At 36.4% G+C, this 16,381-nt stretch overlaps 1 protein-coding gene across 31 annotated transcripts in view; it reads left to right on the top strand.

Moving 5' to 3' along the window:
• ENOX1 (ecto-NOX disulfide-thiol exchanger 1) overlaps nucleotides 1-16,381 on the top strand; it is a 573,843-nt gene that overhangs the window by 298,890 nt on the left and 258,572 nt on the right. For 29 of the 31 annotated variants that reach the window (XR_007063686.1, NM_001347965.2, NM_001347971.2 and 26 more), the window contains one exon: nucleotides 3,931-4,074. The exons of the other annotated variants lie outside the window; for them this stretch is intronic. The gene's annotated coding sequence lies outside the window, so the exon portion shown is untranslated. The remainder of the gene's footprint in view (nucleotides 1-3,930; nucleotides 4,075-16,381) is intronic. 31 annotated transcript variants of the gene reach the window in all.

The following is a 16,381-nucleotide window of genomic DNA, read 5'->3' as shown; positions in this document are numbered from 1 at the left end:
AGCTCCTCTGTTCAGTACAATATTGTATGGGTCTGGCAAGGACAAAGTAGTGTGGCTTAGTGAGCCCTTGCAAAATGAATGTATCCAGAGGAACTATATGTTAAATCTATAAATGATGAGATTCCTGCCAAGCTTTTTTTGAATTAAAGTCCCGAATATGCGGGAAATAAGAATGTTCATTAATGCAATAAGACATTTCTAAATGAATGTTACAAATCAAACAGCCTTTGCTTTTATTGCTTCTAGGGAATTATAGCCACCATCATTTTGTGGCTCTGTGCTTGTAAAATACAGTACATCTTTATATTATACTTTCCAGAGTAAAAGGGTGTGTGGTTTCTGTCCACAGTGACAGACATGTTTTCTTGAACAACACCCAGGAAAGGTCACATTGGAGATTTGAGTCTCAAGCCCTATGATTTAAATTTAAGGCTAAGTTTATAATTGGCACGTCTAGAGCTTGCCAAGCTCCATTAAAAGCCATGGTGTCATTTTGGATTACAGTTAAATAGAACAGGACCCCATGGGATCGTGTACCTCTCTTGGTAGCAGTACGTTGATTTTCTTTGTACTATGACCTGGCTGTGTTGTTAGGTTAGGTGTCTACTTTCACACCAAATCCTGGAAAATAATGTCTAATTTCATGAACCTATGTTTTTCTAAAGTATATCATATTCTGGCTTTTCAATTATAATAGAATTTCTGTAAATGCCTAATCATGTCTCTCTGTTTACTTATAGTTGATCTTAAATGCTACTTTCTTCACTGAAGCCTTCTTGATTCCATTCATCCCCAACAGAAAGGATCTCCAATTCCTCTGAGCTTCATAGCACGTTTTCCATCACTGATACCACCCATGATCTGTTATACAACAATACTACTAATATTTCCTAACTTTTTTTTTTTTTTTTGAGACAGAGTCTCACTTTGTCACCCAGGCTGGAGTGCAGTGGCACGATCTCAGCCCACTGCAACTTCCACCTCCCAGGTTCAAGCAATTCTCCCTGCCTCAGCCTCCTGAGTAGCTGGGATTACAGGCATGCACCACCATACCTGGCTAATTTTTGTATTTAGTAGAGACGGGGTTTCATCATGTTGGCCAGGCTGGTCTCGAACTCCTGACCTCAGGTGATCTGCCTGCCTTGGCCTCCCAAAGTGCTGGGATTATAGGCGTGAGCCACTGCATCCCGCCAACATTTCCTAACTTTTGATGAGTTCTTATTGTATGTTACTCAGTGCACAAAGCACTTTATGTGGCTTCTCTTACTTAATCCTCGAACAGCCTTTGCGGGAAATACATCCTGCAGATAAGGAGGCTAAGTTATACAGTTTTAGTACCTTGCCCAAGGTCATACAGCCAGGAAGTAATGAAGCAGGAACACCCCCGCCAGTTTGGTTTCAGACCCCATTATTACAAACACCTACTGGTACCACCTTCTTATGGTTTTTGACATCCTAGTTGTATCTCTTTACAAGACAGTTAAGATGCTTGACTAAAAGGCTATCTTGATTATTGCAGTGTTCCTGGAATTTTCCAACTTATTGTTTGGCTCATAAGTATATAATGAATAGTGGCTGAATGAATGTTTAAAAATTGTCATTAGGATTTTATAAAAACTGGGCCTACTAGTTTAGGCATTTAATCTGAAAATTTGGTTGTTGGTTTTTTTGTTTGTTTGTTTTTGTCTTTGTTTTTTTTTTGAGAGAGTCTCACTTACTTGCCCAGGCCCGAGTGCAGTGGTGCAATCTTGGCTCACTGCAGCCTCCACCTCCTGGGTTCAAGTGATTCTTATGCCTCAGCCTCCCGAGTAGCCAGGATTAATAGGTGTGCACCACCACACCTGGCTAATTTTTGTTTTTTGTTTTTGTTTTTGAGACGAAGTCTCGCTCTGTCACCCAGGCTGGAATGCAGTGGTACGATCTTGGATCACTGCAAGCTCTGCCTCCCGGGTTCACACCATTCTCCTGCCTCAGCCTCCCAAGGAGCTGGGACTACAGGCACCCGCCACCATGCCCGGCTAATTTTTTGTGTTTTTAGTAGAGACGGGCTTTCACAGTGTTAGCCAGGATGGCCTCCATCTCCTGACCTCATGATCCACCCACCTCGGCCTCCCAAAGTGCTGGGATTACAGGCATGAGCCACCGCACCTGGCCAATTTTTGTATTTTTTGTAAAGACAGGGTTTCACCACATTGGCCAGGCTGGTCTTGAACTTCTGGACTGAAGTGATCTGCCCGCCTTGGCCTCCCAAAGTGCTGGGATTATAGGCGTGGGCCACCGTGCCCTGCCTGAAAATGTGTTTCTGAGTGGTATGAAGTAAACAGAATGCTAGTGTATGAGGTTTTAAGAAGAGTTGCTATTCATTTCACATTCCTCTCACTTAGTTTAGATCCATTGGTTCAAGTCTTTTTTCTTCATTCTTTGTCAAGCTCACCTTTCTTCTGTCATGCAAAGATAAACTAGCTCTGTTTTCCTCTGTTCTTTTTCCTTTTTCTTTGTGTAATAATCCTAGGCTCTGGTTCTGTAGAATTTGAAAATACCATCAATCGTTTTCCCTTGTTTCTTTATTCATGACTGAAGCTTTTGTGGCCAAAAATCCAATAAACTAAAAATTTCAAAAGTTATGCATGACCTTCCTGGCTCCATCATTTTCTAGTCTCTCTAAGGGACTTTTGGTCCTGCAGTGGGGCCATGAGCTAAAAGGTTCAGGACAGACAAAAGTCTATGGCATCCAAAGCTATCATTTCAAGGGATGTGTTGAAGCATTTATTTGGTGAGCAGTAGCCCTGCAACACAGTGTGAGAGTGGGTACTGGGACAGCTGGTGGTGGGTAAGTTGCAGGGGGTCTCTGTGTTGCACTGGAACCATCAGAAACAAATATAGAGATAGCTGACTAAAAATGAGAATGGAAATCCAACTAGAGCCCTCGCTTTGTCACCCTCAGCCATTAAGGTGAATGTAGCCACAAAGAGATACAGTAATATCACTCAGTAATAGCCATAGAGGATGTGGGCTCAGTTCCTGATGCAATCAGGAAAACTAAGTGTTCTCATTCATCAGGACAGTGGAGGAACTGTGGGTCACATGGATGGGCCAGAGGAAGATGAGAAGTTTGCAGTGCCAGCCTTGATGTAGCGCTGCATGTAATCCCACACCAAACACAAAGGAGCTTCTCAGTTTCCAGCAAGTTCTCTCTTTGTCTAAGGAAGAAAAGTTGGTAGAAAAAAATATACTGCTTAAAGCTGGGCATTTGTATTTATGTGGGCCTGACTGAATAAGATGATATTTAATATAAAACTAAAGTAAATTAGGCAAGACAAGTTCTTAATTAATTAGTAATATTTGAATTAATTTAGTATGTTGCAGCATTATCTGTTCTCTTGTCAGTTCTGTTTGGGAAATATTTTTCTAAATCACCAAGGCTACAGAGTGAGATGAGGGAAAGTACCTGCCCTAAGGCCTTTGAACTTTGATGGTTACAGGTTCTAAGCCTGAGGTCAGCAATCTGTGCATTTTTTTCTCATCTGTAAAATGGAGCCAATACTTTTCAATTGCAGTGTTGTTTGTATTAAAGATCCCAGATTTAAAAGCCACTTGCACAGTGCCTTATATCTGGTAGACACTCAGTAAATACTGTCACTGTTCTTGTGCTCATACCCTGCCCACAGTTATTCAATCCCAGCCTAGATAAGAGGAAAAGCAGAGGTTTGCTTAGTTATAAATACTCCTGACTTTTAGAAATTTCTAAATACGATATTGAAAGGTTAGTGTCCCACTCTGCCATTGATGAATAAGATGATTTAGGGTACAAAATTGATAATAGAAATTAATAACATCATGCTGATAACACATATAAGTGATAATAATACCATTACAGGCAGTAATGGTACTTTAGACATATCCTAACGGTGTGCTTTTCTTTGCTTCCAGAAGCCTCTGATATGTCAGAACCATGCTGTCTTCCATGAGACTTCCTTTGTGAAGAGCATCCATTTAAAAGACTTTTATGAATACATGGTTTCAATCAAGTCCCCAGAGAACACATTTGTCTTCTGAGCTGCTGGCAGTTTTGAGGTTTGTGTTAATTTTTTCATTTTTCTTACTGAAGATACTAAGTTTGAGGGATATTTTTTAATGGAAAATATTTGTACTCTATTTCAATTAGAACTCTGGGGGTAGATTTTAAACAGATTTTCATTTCTTAATTTCATTGAAAGTTAGATTTAAATGAAAATAAATATCTTGTCATACTTATTTATGTATACCCTGTGGAATGTAACAAGGATATTAGAAATAAAATATACCCCACATTGACTTAAAACAAATTTTATTTTTGTGTTTATAAATTCTAACTGAATAGATTCAATAAATTTATGCCAAGCATCTACATATATCAGATTTAGTTAAGTACTTTCAATTGTTTAAGACCTTGTGGATAAATTATATTTTGAAACGTTGAAAATCAAAACTGAATTTGTCAATATCAACTAGTATTATCATTTTTCAAATTATAAAAACTCAGTGCCCTGAATGTTTTCATTTAGTTCTACCAGAGGATATTCACCCTATGATTTATAAATGATAGAATAGGGCTTGTTTGGGGTTTTGTGTGTGTGTGTGTGTATGTGTATTAACAGTTTGAAAAATTACTAACAATATTGTTGCTTACTCAAGGAAAAAGCTTGCTAGTAGAGCAAGCATTTCATTTTGGAAATACATGTTTGCTATTGAGATAGTACCAAGTAAAACACTTTTATTTTGAAGGTACTTTCTGACAAAGACCTAACCAAAGGCTAAATTCAGTCCATGCATCTTTCAAAGCTGGAAAAGGAAACAGGATATAGGATAAGGCTTGGTACATTGAGTGGATGAAAACTAAATGAAGAGCAAAGGAGAAGGAACACAGTACTTTCTAGCATGACACATCTTTTCCCATAGGCATTTATTTCATTTGGTGGTACTTTTATTCTGTCCACGGTGACAAATGCTTTCTCTCTTAGTAGCCCTTTACTGTGGTTCTACTTTTTTTATTTCTTTTATTTCTACTAAGAATCAAAGTAGATGTTACTGTAGTGCTGGGCTAGACTCCAGTTTTCCCACTGTACCCTTCGCTGTTGGGCCTCATGATTAACCCCCATTGAACAGTGAGGCAGGGGGTATTTACTAGGGTATGGGGTAGATGAGAAGTTGTGCCTCCATCCTCAGCTCTCTAGCCTGTCAATTCAGTAGGATATCACAGTGTGCTGGAACCTAATAACTGTATCCATAGAAACAGAAGTGCTGGGAAGGACGTGAGAAGTTACCTAAATGCTCCTCCCTAGTCTACAAGCAAGATTCTGCGTGAACTGTCTGAAACCAATAAAAATCCATTTGTTTTCAAACCTTCATACCCAGGGATCCAATTTCCTTTTTTTCTTAGTTTTTTTTTTCATTTATTGTGGTTAAAACACACACACACAAAATATGAAATCTACCCTTTAACAAATTTTTAAGTCCATACTTTAGTGTTGTTAACTCTCTGCATGTTGTACAGCAAATCCTTACAATTTTTTCATCTTGCTTAACTAAAGTGCTATACCTGTTGTAAAGCAACTCCCTGTTTCTCCTCCCTTCAGCTCTGGCAACTACAATTTTACCTTATTCTATGAGTTTGACTACTTTAGGTACCTCATATGAATGAAATCATGCAGTACTTGTCCTTCGGTGACTGGCTTGTTTCACTTAGCATAATGACCTTAGTTTATCCATGTTGTCACATATGACAGGATTTTCCTTGTTAGGCTTAATAATCTTCTGTTCTACATATAGACCATATTTACTCATTCATTTGTCAGTGGGCATTTAGGTTCTTTCCACATCCTAGCTATTGCGAATAATGCTGCAGTGAACATGAGTGTGTAAATATCTCTACAAGATCCTGTTTTCAGTTTTTTTGATATGTACCCAGAAGTGAAATTGCTGGATCATATGGTAGTTCTATTTTTAATTTGTGGAGGAATCTTCATACTGCACAGCAGAAGTACCAGTTTGCATTCTCACCCTCAGTGTACAAGGGTTCCAATTTCTCCACAACTTTGCTAACCCTTGTCTATTATTTTAAATAATAACCATCTTGAGGTGATACTTCGTTGTGGTTTTGATTTGTATTTCCCTGATAATTAGTGATTTTGAATATCTTTCATGTATCTGTTGACCATTTGTATGTCTTCTTGGGAGAAATGTCTATTCAAGTCCTTTGCCCATTTTTAAATTATATTATTTGGATATTTTGCAGTTGAGTTGTAGGAGTTTATTACATATTTAATATATTAACCCCTTATCAGATATATGGTTTGCAAATTTTTTCCCATTCTGTAAGTTGCCTTTTCACTCTATTGATTGCTTCCTTTGCTGCATGGAAGCCTTTTAATTTGATATAATTCTACTTGTCTGTGTTTGTTTTGTTACCTGTTCTTTTCTTGTGATATCTAAGAAATCACAGCCAAGACCAAATATGGAGCTTTTTCCCTGGGTTTTCTTCTACTAGTTGTGTAGTTTCAAATCTTATATTTAATTCTTTAATTCATTTTGGGTTGGTTTTGGTGTCTGGTATAAAATAAGGATCCAGTTTTATTCTGTGGCATGTGGATATACAGTTTTCCCAGCACAATTTATTGAAGAATAAGTTCTTACACTTTTGTGGAGTCTTGGAACCCTTGTTGAATATAATTTGATCCCATATATATATGGGTTTATTTCTGGACTCTCTATCCTCTTCCATTGGTCCATATATCTGCCTTTATGTCAGTACCATGCCATTCTGACTATTGTAGCTTTATATATTACAATTTTTTCATCTTGCATGACTGAAACTCTGTATATAATATATAGAGAGTTTGTTGTTACATTTCGACATCGGGAAGTATGAGGCTTCCAAATTCAACAGCATACTGCATACTGCTGTTGAATTTGGTTTGCTAGTATTTGTTGCTAGCAAAAAGTTGCTAGTATTTTGTTGAGAATTTTTGCACTTACATTCATCAGGGATATTGGCCTGTAGTTTTCTTGTGGCATGGTTGACTTTGGTATCAGGCTTATGCTGGCTTTATAAAATGAGTTAGGAAATGTTCCATCCTTTTCAATTTTTTAGAAGAGTTTGAGAAGGATTAGCATTAGTTCTTTAAATGTTTGGTAGAATGATCTGGTGAAGCTATCTGATATAGGACTTTTCTTTGTTGGAAGATTGCTAACTACTGACTCAATCTCCTTACTAGTTATGGGTCTGTTTAGGCTTTCTATTTTTTCTCTATTTAGTCTTGGTAGGTTGTGTGTTTCTAGAAATGTATCTGTTTCATCTAGGTTATCTAACTGGTTGGCATATCATTGTTCCTTGTAGTCTCTCATAATCCTTTTTATTTCTGTGATATCAGTGATATCAGTTGTAATGTCTCCTCTTTCATTTATGATTTCAAGTCTTTCTCAAGAAAGCCAATGTAATTTCTGAGCTCATATCATGTTAATTTATTTCTGCTTCCATTGAAAAAGAAAATTTATTGGTCAGACTTCCCCTGTATCATCCTAGTCTCAGTTTTTAAATCATCCTTTTTCTCTTTGGGAGAGATAAGCCCATTTTTAAAACTTTTCCTATAAATCTGCATAATCCAAAATTTTAATTATCCTCACAGTTCTTTCCTGAGTCTCTTAAGTTCCCTACATTTCACTTAAGTTTTAGAGGCCAAATAGGTTGAAGGAACATTGAAAATCATCTATTGATGTTTCTTCATCAGGGCAGTATTGGCATTTTAAGTGGGACAGTTCTTTGTGATGCAAGGTTGTCCCATGCATGTTTAGAATGTTTAGTAACCAGCCAGGTGCAGTGGCTCATGCCTAGAATTGAAGCACTTTGGGAGGCCGAGGCGGGTGGATCACCTGAGGTCAGGAGTTCAAGGCCAGCCTGGCCAACATGGTGAAATCCCATCTCAACTAAAAATACAAAAAAATTAGCTGGGCATGGTCGTGGGTGCCTGTAATCCCAGCTACTTCAGGAGGCTATGGCAGGAAAATGGCTTGAACCCGGGAGGTGGAGGTTGCAGTGAGCCAAGATCACGCCATTGCACTCCAGCCTGGGCAGCAAGAGAACAGCTCTGTCTCAAAAAAAAAAAAATAAAAATAAAAATAAATAAAAGAATGTTTAGTAACCACGGTTCTCAGGAACCAAAAGCCAACATCTCCCCCAACCCCAGTTATTGTAATAACCAGACTCAAACCTTCTTTCCCTTGTCCAGCAGTGGAGGTCTGCAACTGCCCAGACTACAGAAACTTCACTTAGAGCTGACAGTGCCCAAATGGGCAGAAAGATGGAGCTGGGTGTAGCCCCCTTTTTCTAACTCCGGGTACCATTCTCTTTCCATTCTATTGCACTTCTACTCTGAGATTACATTTATTTTTTAGCTGCCTAGAAATACACTAACATACATAAATGGATGGATAGACTCTTTCGAAGAACGAGAAATTCTGGTTTGGTGTTTAAAGGAGATCATTTTTCTTGATATAGGAACATGGATGAGGGAAAGATAATATTAGAACTCAGTACAGGAAAATGGCAGAGAGAGGACAGCTGTTGGATATGGAGATGGAGACAGGCTTGGACCTCAGGAGAAGTGGTGGGGCTGATGCCACAAAGGTGGCCGGTCAGTTACTGAGAACGGAAAGGGTAGAAAATCTGAAATCTGCAAGATGACTGGGAAAAGGTAAGTAATAAAGTAGTAGTTGTTTTTTTCACTTGCTTTTCACCAAGCACCATAGTTTCAGCTGTCTGCTCTAGGCCACAAGCTTCCTCAGAAAATCAAGGATCGGTTTGTGGGGAGCTCAAAGAACCCTTGATTACAGCCTAACTGCTCTCTCCCTTTAGTCCCAACATCCTTGGCCTCACCTCCTGCCATCCCCCTCAACACTTCTGCCTTCTGCCTCACTTACTTACTGTTGCCAACACCCAGTTCCATCTTTATGCATGCGGAGTATGGGGAAATGACTTGACAACTTCTGTTTCTCCTGATTTCTCCAAGGGCTCAAGTAAAGTTATAAACTAAAAGGAGAGGACATAGAAACAATTGACCTTTGGGGAGTTTCTCCTCCAAAGGCTTGGGGAATTTCTCCCCCGAAATGGCTCTGACCTCTTGAGGCTTTTACCGTAATATAATATGAATACAGCCTCTCCATGAAAAACCAAATTATCATTCACTACTATTTTCTTTGGGTTTAAGAAATCATTGAATTCCCCAGTACACAGGTTACTTAATAATAAAATGAGAAGAATTCATGAATTAACAATACAGTTTCCAGTAGGGGTATCTCAATTTTTATAGTGGGATTACAGTGAGTATCTGCCTCAGCTTCCACAAAATACACACAGTGAGTACAGTGTTGAAAATGAGAACTGGACTAAAGGGTCCTTTTCTTTGATTTCTAGTAAAATGAGGAATACTACATGATAAGATGTATCATCTATGAAAAGGCTACATTTATGGGAATAGAAAAAATAATATCAAAAGACTTTCATTATGTTGTGTTATTTAATTATTTAAAGCTTTATGAGTGAGTTCCTGAGTCAGGTTTTTAAAATATGGGGATTTTTCTGTCTTGTCTTCTTTTTTGCATACGACATCAAGTTATATTTGGCTTCTCAGAATTTCTCATTTCCTGAAATGCACTACTAGCTGTATAAACATGGAAGAATAAATATTAGCTTTATGAGAACACGTTCCTCTACTAGTTGAAAAATAGCATATAATAAAAAATACAAGGATGTAATACTGAAAATTATAGATCAATATGCCCTCTTATTGTGGGCGTATATCTAATCCTCATGCACGGAGTCTGTTTTTTCAGAAAAATGCCCACTGTATAATACCACTTGTGTCTGTGATTTATTTCTACCCCTCATATTTAATAATATATCTTAAGTGACTCTTGCCTTACTAGTGAAATGTTTCAGGCTTATTTTCCACTGTGATTTAAAAAATGAAAAAAAAAAAAAAAAAAAAAAAAAACCTCTCTGGCTCCTTGCCATTAATCCTAAGAATTACACATGATCCAAAATTAATAAAATGTTAGTAGGTTTCCTTCCTGCTGGAGTCCCCCAGCACCCAGTGAATGAGCTCCTTGGGGATTATGTTTGAAAATGTTTATTGGCAATTTTGAAAGAAAAGGAAGTCTTTGCGAGGAGCTTAAAAAAGTAATATTAATTGCAATGTTGCCCAGCTAATCAACACTTGTAAGTGTGCAAATTGTTATTCCAAAATCCAGACTCTATAAACATTTGTAGAAACAATGAAAACTTGGCATCTATTAACTGTGTCCCTTAAACCTCATATTCACACCCCATAAAGAAAAAAAAGAGTAACTCAAATAAATAGTGTATGAGTTGAAACATTCTTTTAAAGCTGGAGGACTCAATATAACTACATTCAGATAATTCACTTCCACCTGAAAATGACCATTCATTTGCCAAAAGTGCCACTGACTTCTCATTGCAAGGATAGTCTTTTCTTCTACAGTAAGTCTCCATTGTTTCTCTTTCTGAAGATGGAAAATAATCAGCCTTGTATATTCTCAGCTCAGCTCAGAAATAAGAAAGTTAGACTTACTAGAACAGCTCCTTCTAATTGTCTCAATTTCTACAGCTTTCTTTTTTTAGACAACAAATTTCAAAAAAATGTTAATTTTTATTGTCAAGTAGCTTAAACCTACAGAAAAGAGCAAAGCGTATGTATTCACCCCCATATTTAAAAATTTTAAAATGTTCTTCAGATATCTACTTCTCCTTTCCCAGAGGTACTATCATGATAATAAGGTTGTTGTATATTATACCATTTATCACATATATAGTTATAATTAATCTCTCTATATATATGTGTGTATACTATATATATATATGTATGTGTATATATATGTATACACACATATATATGTGCAATATTTTTTAAGTTTACATAGATGGGATCATACTGAATATATACCTTTGGAACTTGTTTTTTCTCAATTTTTTTTTTATTTTTTTAGAATCTCTCTCTTAATATATGGAGATCTGTTTCATTCATAGTGGTTAATTGTTGTATAGTTTTCCACAAATGAAGTATGTTCACTTTCTCATAATAGAACCAGTCTGTTGCTTTTTCTGGACAATTACCTGCCTGCACCCACCCATCTCCTCTTTTACAGTGGATATATGAGGTGACTGTATGATGCTGCTATGTCCCACCTACCATAGAAGAGGCACTTGGGAAATATCTGTTCCGTACATTCTGCTACAAAAACCTCTCACTTCCTTCTTCCTAACAGTGCTTCTGTTTTGTTGTTTCTGTTGAATGTGCCTCTATCCTTTTCTATTGATTTTTCCATGAGTAGTTTCTAATGTAGCTTTACTCGTTATATCTCAATCAACTATAATTGTGTCTGAAGAGTGGGAAATGACAAGGGAAACAGAACAAAGACAAACTAGAGAGAGTAAAAGAAGGAAGAAGGGGTTATTTCCCGCCTTTAGCTTCTAAGGGTTCAGTTGGTGTCCAGGAGAGTTACTTTTTGAAGTACATTTGCACATTCTTTTACACTTCATTATCTGGGAGGTCAGCTAGTTTTTGAGGCCTTTTCTCTTCCATTAGACAAATAAAAAATTTCTTTTTGTCTCTTTGTTTCAGAACCACATTAGAAAAATATGCACTTTTTTTTAAAGTTTAGTATGTTGTTAAAGGTTCCAGATGTATCTCAAGTTAAATGTTGTTTAGTGTCTGGTACCTTCACTAAATGAGAGCTATCAGAAATTCTCAAGTGAATACATATTTGTATTTTTGGTAGATTTTAGGCTTGTTTTATGGAGCGTTATACCTAGCATGTGCTCAATAAATCTTTTTTTGAATTACTGAATGAATAAACAAAGTAACAAATATTTGTAGCGATTACAGTAATATTTGTAGAGGTTACATGGTCATTTGACTTGGAGAGATATTAAAGTTTCTATTAATCATCTTTCATCTATTGAAACACTCTAACACTTCAATGCTTAGACCTCCTGTAATTGAAAACTGAGGTCTATAAACAAATATAAGATTAGAGTTAACTGAGACCATCCATTCCCAAGAGTTATTAAAATTAAGGTCTGTGTTTAAGGTTCCCACCTTATTTAGGGCTCTAAAAAAGTGTCCTTTATGGTAAAATTTTAAGAGCTGTATATCTTAGAGTTTAGGCTCTTCTCAAATTCTGTTTTGCTATTCTAAGAGATTAAAGCCTTTCTTTTTTTTTTTTTTTTTTTTTGGTCAGTTATGTTTTTGTATATGATTGTGGCCTGGGCCAATGCCACCACTAAGAAAATGGAACTTTTAAAAATTCAAGAGTAAAAGCCACTATTTCTAGAACTGACACAGCCCTTCCTAGGTTCAATCATTACCCCTTTAAATTATTTATTCCCTTCCATATCTGGAAATTATTAGGCTGTAAATGATCTCACCACTTCTCAAATATGATTTCGTTTATGAAAAGATTAATTAATAAGTATTGAGAACTTCCTTTGATTTTCCTTAGCAATGCTCTGGTCTTTTCTGAAAGTTGAGTTTATAGGATTTCCCTCTCCTTAATCTTCATTTTTGTTGTATTTGATGGAATTCTACTAAGCTACAGTATTTATGCCAAGTTTCATTTTCAGCAGACTTTCATAATTGAGCCTAAATCCTCAGAAAATAGAGTTCCTATCAGAAATGTTGGCACACGTTCCCTATTGCTGCTCCGCTGGCCATCTCCACACTGCTTAGGCTGTTGTGGACATGTGGAATCAGCAGGGAAATGCTTTTCACTTTTAGCTCACATATGTTTTTAAGTAGAATTTTTCTGTAGTGGTACTGATATCCCCAGTATGAGATTAGTAGTACTATTTTCTTAATGGTCAAATTTTGATATTTATCAATAGCCATCATAATGATAGATCTGCTGATGGCATCTGGCACATTAATTTGTAAATGTGGTAGAATTCCAACACCGTGTAAACTCTTTCTGGTGGATTTTACTTTAGAAAATCAACTCACTGCTCTTCCAATCTGTCTGCCTTCAAGTTGTTGCATGAGGATTCATCTCAAATCACCAGCAAACCTGCAACTTCTTTACCTCCTTCTCCCTTTCTCTGTGGGTAGGCCCATTCTCTCAGGAATACCAGACAAGAGGGTCAAGCTACCGAGAAACATGAGAAAACATGTCTAGTAATAGACCTGCTGAAATCACTCTATATTTGTTTTTCTTTTCTTTTTACATCAGGGTCCATATTAATTTTTCTTAAAAAGTAATAGTTAGACCACCAATGGCTTAGCAGGAGGAAGATTGGTCATGGTATTGGATTCTAAATTTTTCAAATACAGTTTGAGAAAATATTCATCAAACTTTGAAATAGAATAAAGAAGAGTGAGAAAAGTAAGTGTAGGTCTTAATTCCAGTGAGAGGAATCAGCAACTTCGTTTCAAATACATTGAAACCTGAATTTGGAATCTTTCATACAGAAACTGCAAAGCAAAATTTAAGGATAAGCAATGCATTATTCCCAAAAGTGTTGAGAAGACAAAATTAGATTAACAGGTCTAAGCAAAAAACAAAGCTAGTAAGTGTTAGAAACTTAGAAAAATCTTAAATTTCAAGTGTGCTCTTAATACTTGAGACATAGACATAAATAATTAAGCACAAAGAGTCTCAAGGATGCTTGTATAAGAGACAAAATTAATATAGGGAAGCCTCCTTAATTAGGGTGAACTAGGGAGAGAGCACACTTGTTGGAAGTAGGTGATGTTTCATTTCAAGGGCAGTTGTACACTCTCAAGTAAATCCAATAATATAAGCTTGTTCCTGATGGGAACCTCAACAACAACAAAAACCCTCGCTATCTTGCTTCACGAATATCTAATTTTCCCCTATGAGTTTTGCTCCAGGATGATACATAGTGGAAGGAATCACAACAGTTTGGCCTTTCACCATCTTAAGCAACTTGTATTAATTTTAAAAACCTAAGCCAGTGGTAAACTTAATTTGAATATAGATGTCCTAATATACTTTTTTGACAAATTCATTACTATTAAAAGGATGTTTTAAGATTACAGGTGTATTGGTGCTGTAGCCCAGAATGATGATTTCCAAGTGACGATGTTCATTTACATATAGCATTTTATTTCCCGTTAACAGTTAGGATTTACTCAAGGAGAAGAATAATAAGACATTAAAGTGCAGGGCACCTGACTTCCTGCTTCTGTCTCCATTCAGAGAAAGAGGTTACAGAGTACAGACATCCCAGCACCCCTAGCACAGGAGAGATAAGGGGAGGAAAAGATAAGGACTAGGAAGGGAGATTGCCAACCAGCTTTCTCTTCCCTATTAACCCAAAATTTGGCATGCAGCCAGTGTTTCTTTAATTTTTTCTTTAGCTTCTATTGATAGCCCAGAGATGAGTGCGTATGCTGGAGTTAGGAGAGGGACTTCCCTTTTAAATAGACACAAGAGAACTGCATATTTTTATGAAAAGGACATTTTTGAAGTTCTTTCCTAAAATGTGGACAACACTTGAATAAATACTATAGGCAAACATTTTCAAGATAAAATTTCTGAGATCATTTCCACTCATTTAGAATTTTTCACACACACAAAAGACTGTTAGTTACCGAACAATGCCATCACTGTTAGAAATTCCATCCTAAATTTTAGCAGAGAATGTGTAATCCCCCCAAAAAAGAAAAGTTAAGGGAATAGAATGTATTTTTCATTTAATTTAAAATAACTTTTTGTTGTTTTAAAATTCTGGATAAAAATCCATTAGTCATAGTTTCTTAGAATTATCACAAGAATATATATTCAACAAGCCAAAGGATGACAGTCATAGTAGGATGAAACAATGTTCAACATTCTACAGCTCAGTTTGCTCATCAGAAAGATTACTAAATTGAGAGACGATGTGAAGAAATTCCACTTGCTTGGAAAATATCTGTTTATAAAAATGATAATACAAGACCCATAGAAAATATAATTTATGAAAACCTATTTTCATTTCTGCCCTTCTTAGCAAAGTGAGACATAACCCACTTAAGAAATTCTACTCCCTTTTATTCCTGTCTGAGAATTCCTGCCATTTGAGAAAATATGCTGTTGCTTAATTTATTGGTTGGAAATGCTAAAATTGTATTTGTGAAATTAATATTGTAAAAAGAGATGGCAAGACGTAAATAGTATTAACCTTTCATTACTCTGTACTTAGAACATTTTTTTCCTGAAATTTCCGTACCCAGCTTCATTTTCCAAAGGTCCTGGAAGACCTTCATAGAACTTGGCTCATATTAGGCTACAATTTAAATGTTTACTGGACAAATAAACAAGAAAAATAATTAAAGGTAGCCTACAAAGGTGAATTTCCAAAAATCCCATAACCTCAGTGGGCTAAATACCAGATGGAGAAGGGTGCTGCAGATATGATGCTCCACATTTTCCTTTTATGCTTCGTCTCCAAGGCCCTACTCTATTTATTGCTGTGGCATCTGGCAGGCTTTCTTTTCTGGGCTCCACATGCACCGTGCCGTGTGTTAGAATTTTCCTGGAATGAAAGTCAAGGAAATACCGTTTCTAAAAATATGCCTTATGGGGTTTTTTAAATATAATATTTCCTTTCTACTAGCTCATTCACTTAGGGAGCCTAATAAATGGTATTCACATGTAGAAAAAAATCACGGTGAATCTGATTTTTTTCTATGCAACAAACATAACAATTGTTTTAACAAAGTGTGCAAACATTGTCTTCTTTCTCAGGAAGTTTTATTTTTGTGGGTTTATGGCTACAGACGTTCTATGCTTACTAAAAATAGTAGCTAAAACATTTATTCAGTGCTTATTTATACCAGGAACTGTTTTTTACATATATTGGCAAGTATAGTCCTTTAACAGTCCTGTATAGTAGATATTATTTTTTATATTTTATAAATGAGGAAATTATGCTTAGACTATTTATGAAGCATGGCTAGTAACTTACAAAGCTGGGATTGCTTTCTCTTTTTTTCTTTTAATTTTTCTTTTCTTTTTTTTTGTGAAAGTCTTAGTTTTAAAGAATTTTTTTATTTAAACATTTTATATTCAAATGTTTAACTATTCCAAATAGTTTAAAGAAGTTTACAGTAAATACTCATATACCCACCACTGTGCATCATTCTATCCCTCTGTCCATTCATCATTCATGAATCTTATTTTTGGACACATTTCTTTCTTTCTTTTTTTTTTTTTTTTTTTTGAGACGGAGTCTCGCTCTGTCACCCAGGCTGGAGCACAGTGGCACAATCTCTGCTCACTGCAACCTCCGCCTCCTGGGCTTACACCATTCTCCTGCCTCAGCTTCCTG

Source organism: Homo sapiens, chromosome 13 (assembly GCF_000001405.40).
Source record: "Homo sapiens chromosome 13, GRCh38.p14 Primary Assembly".
Classification (NCBI taxonomy): domain Eukaryota; kingdom Metazoa; phylum Chordata; class Mammalia; order Primates; family Hominidae; genus Homo; species Homo sapiens.
This window is presented reverse-complemented; position numbering and strand designations above follow the sequence as displayed.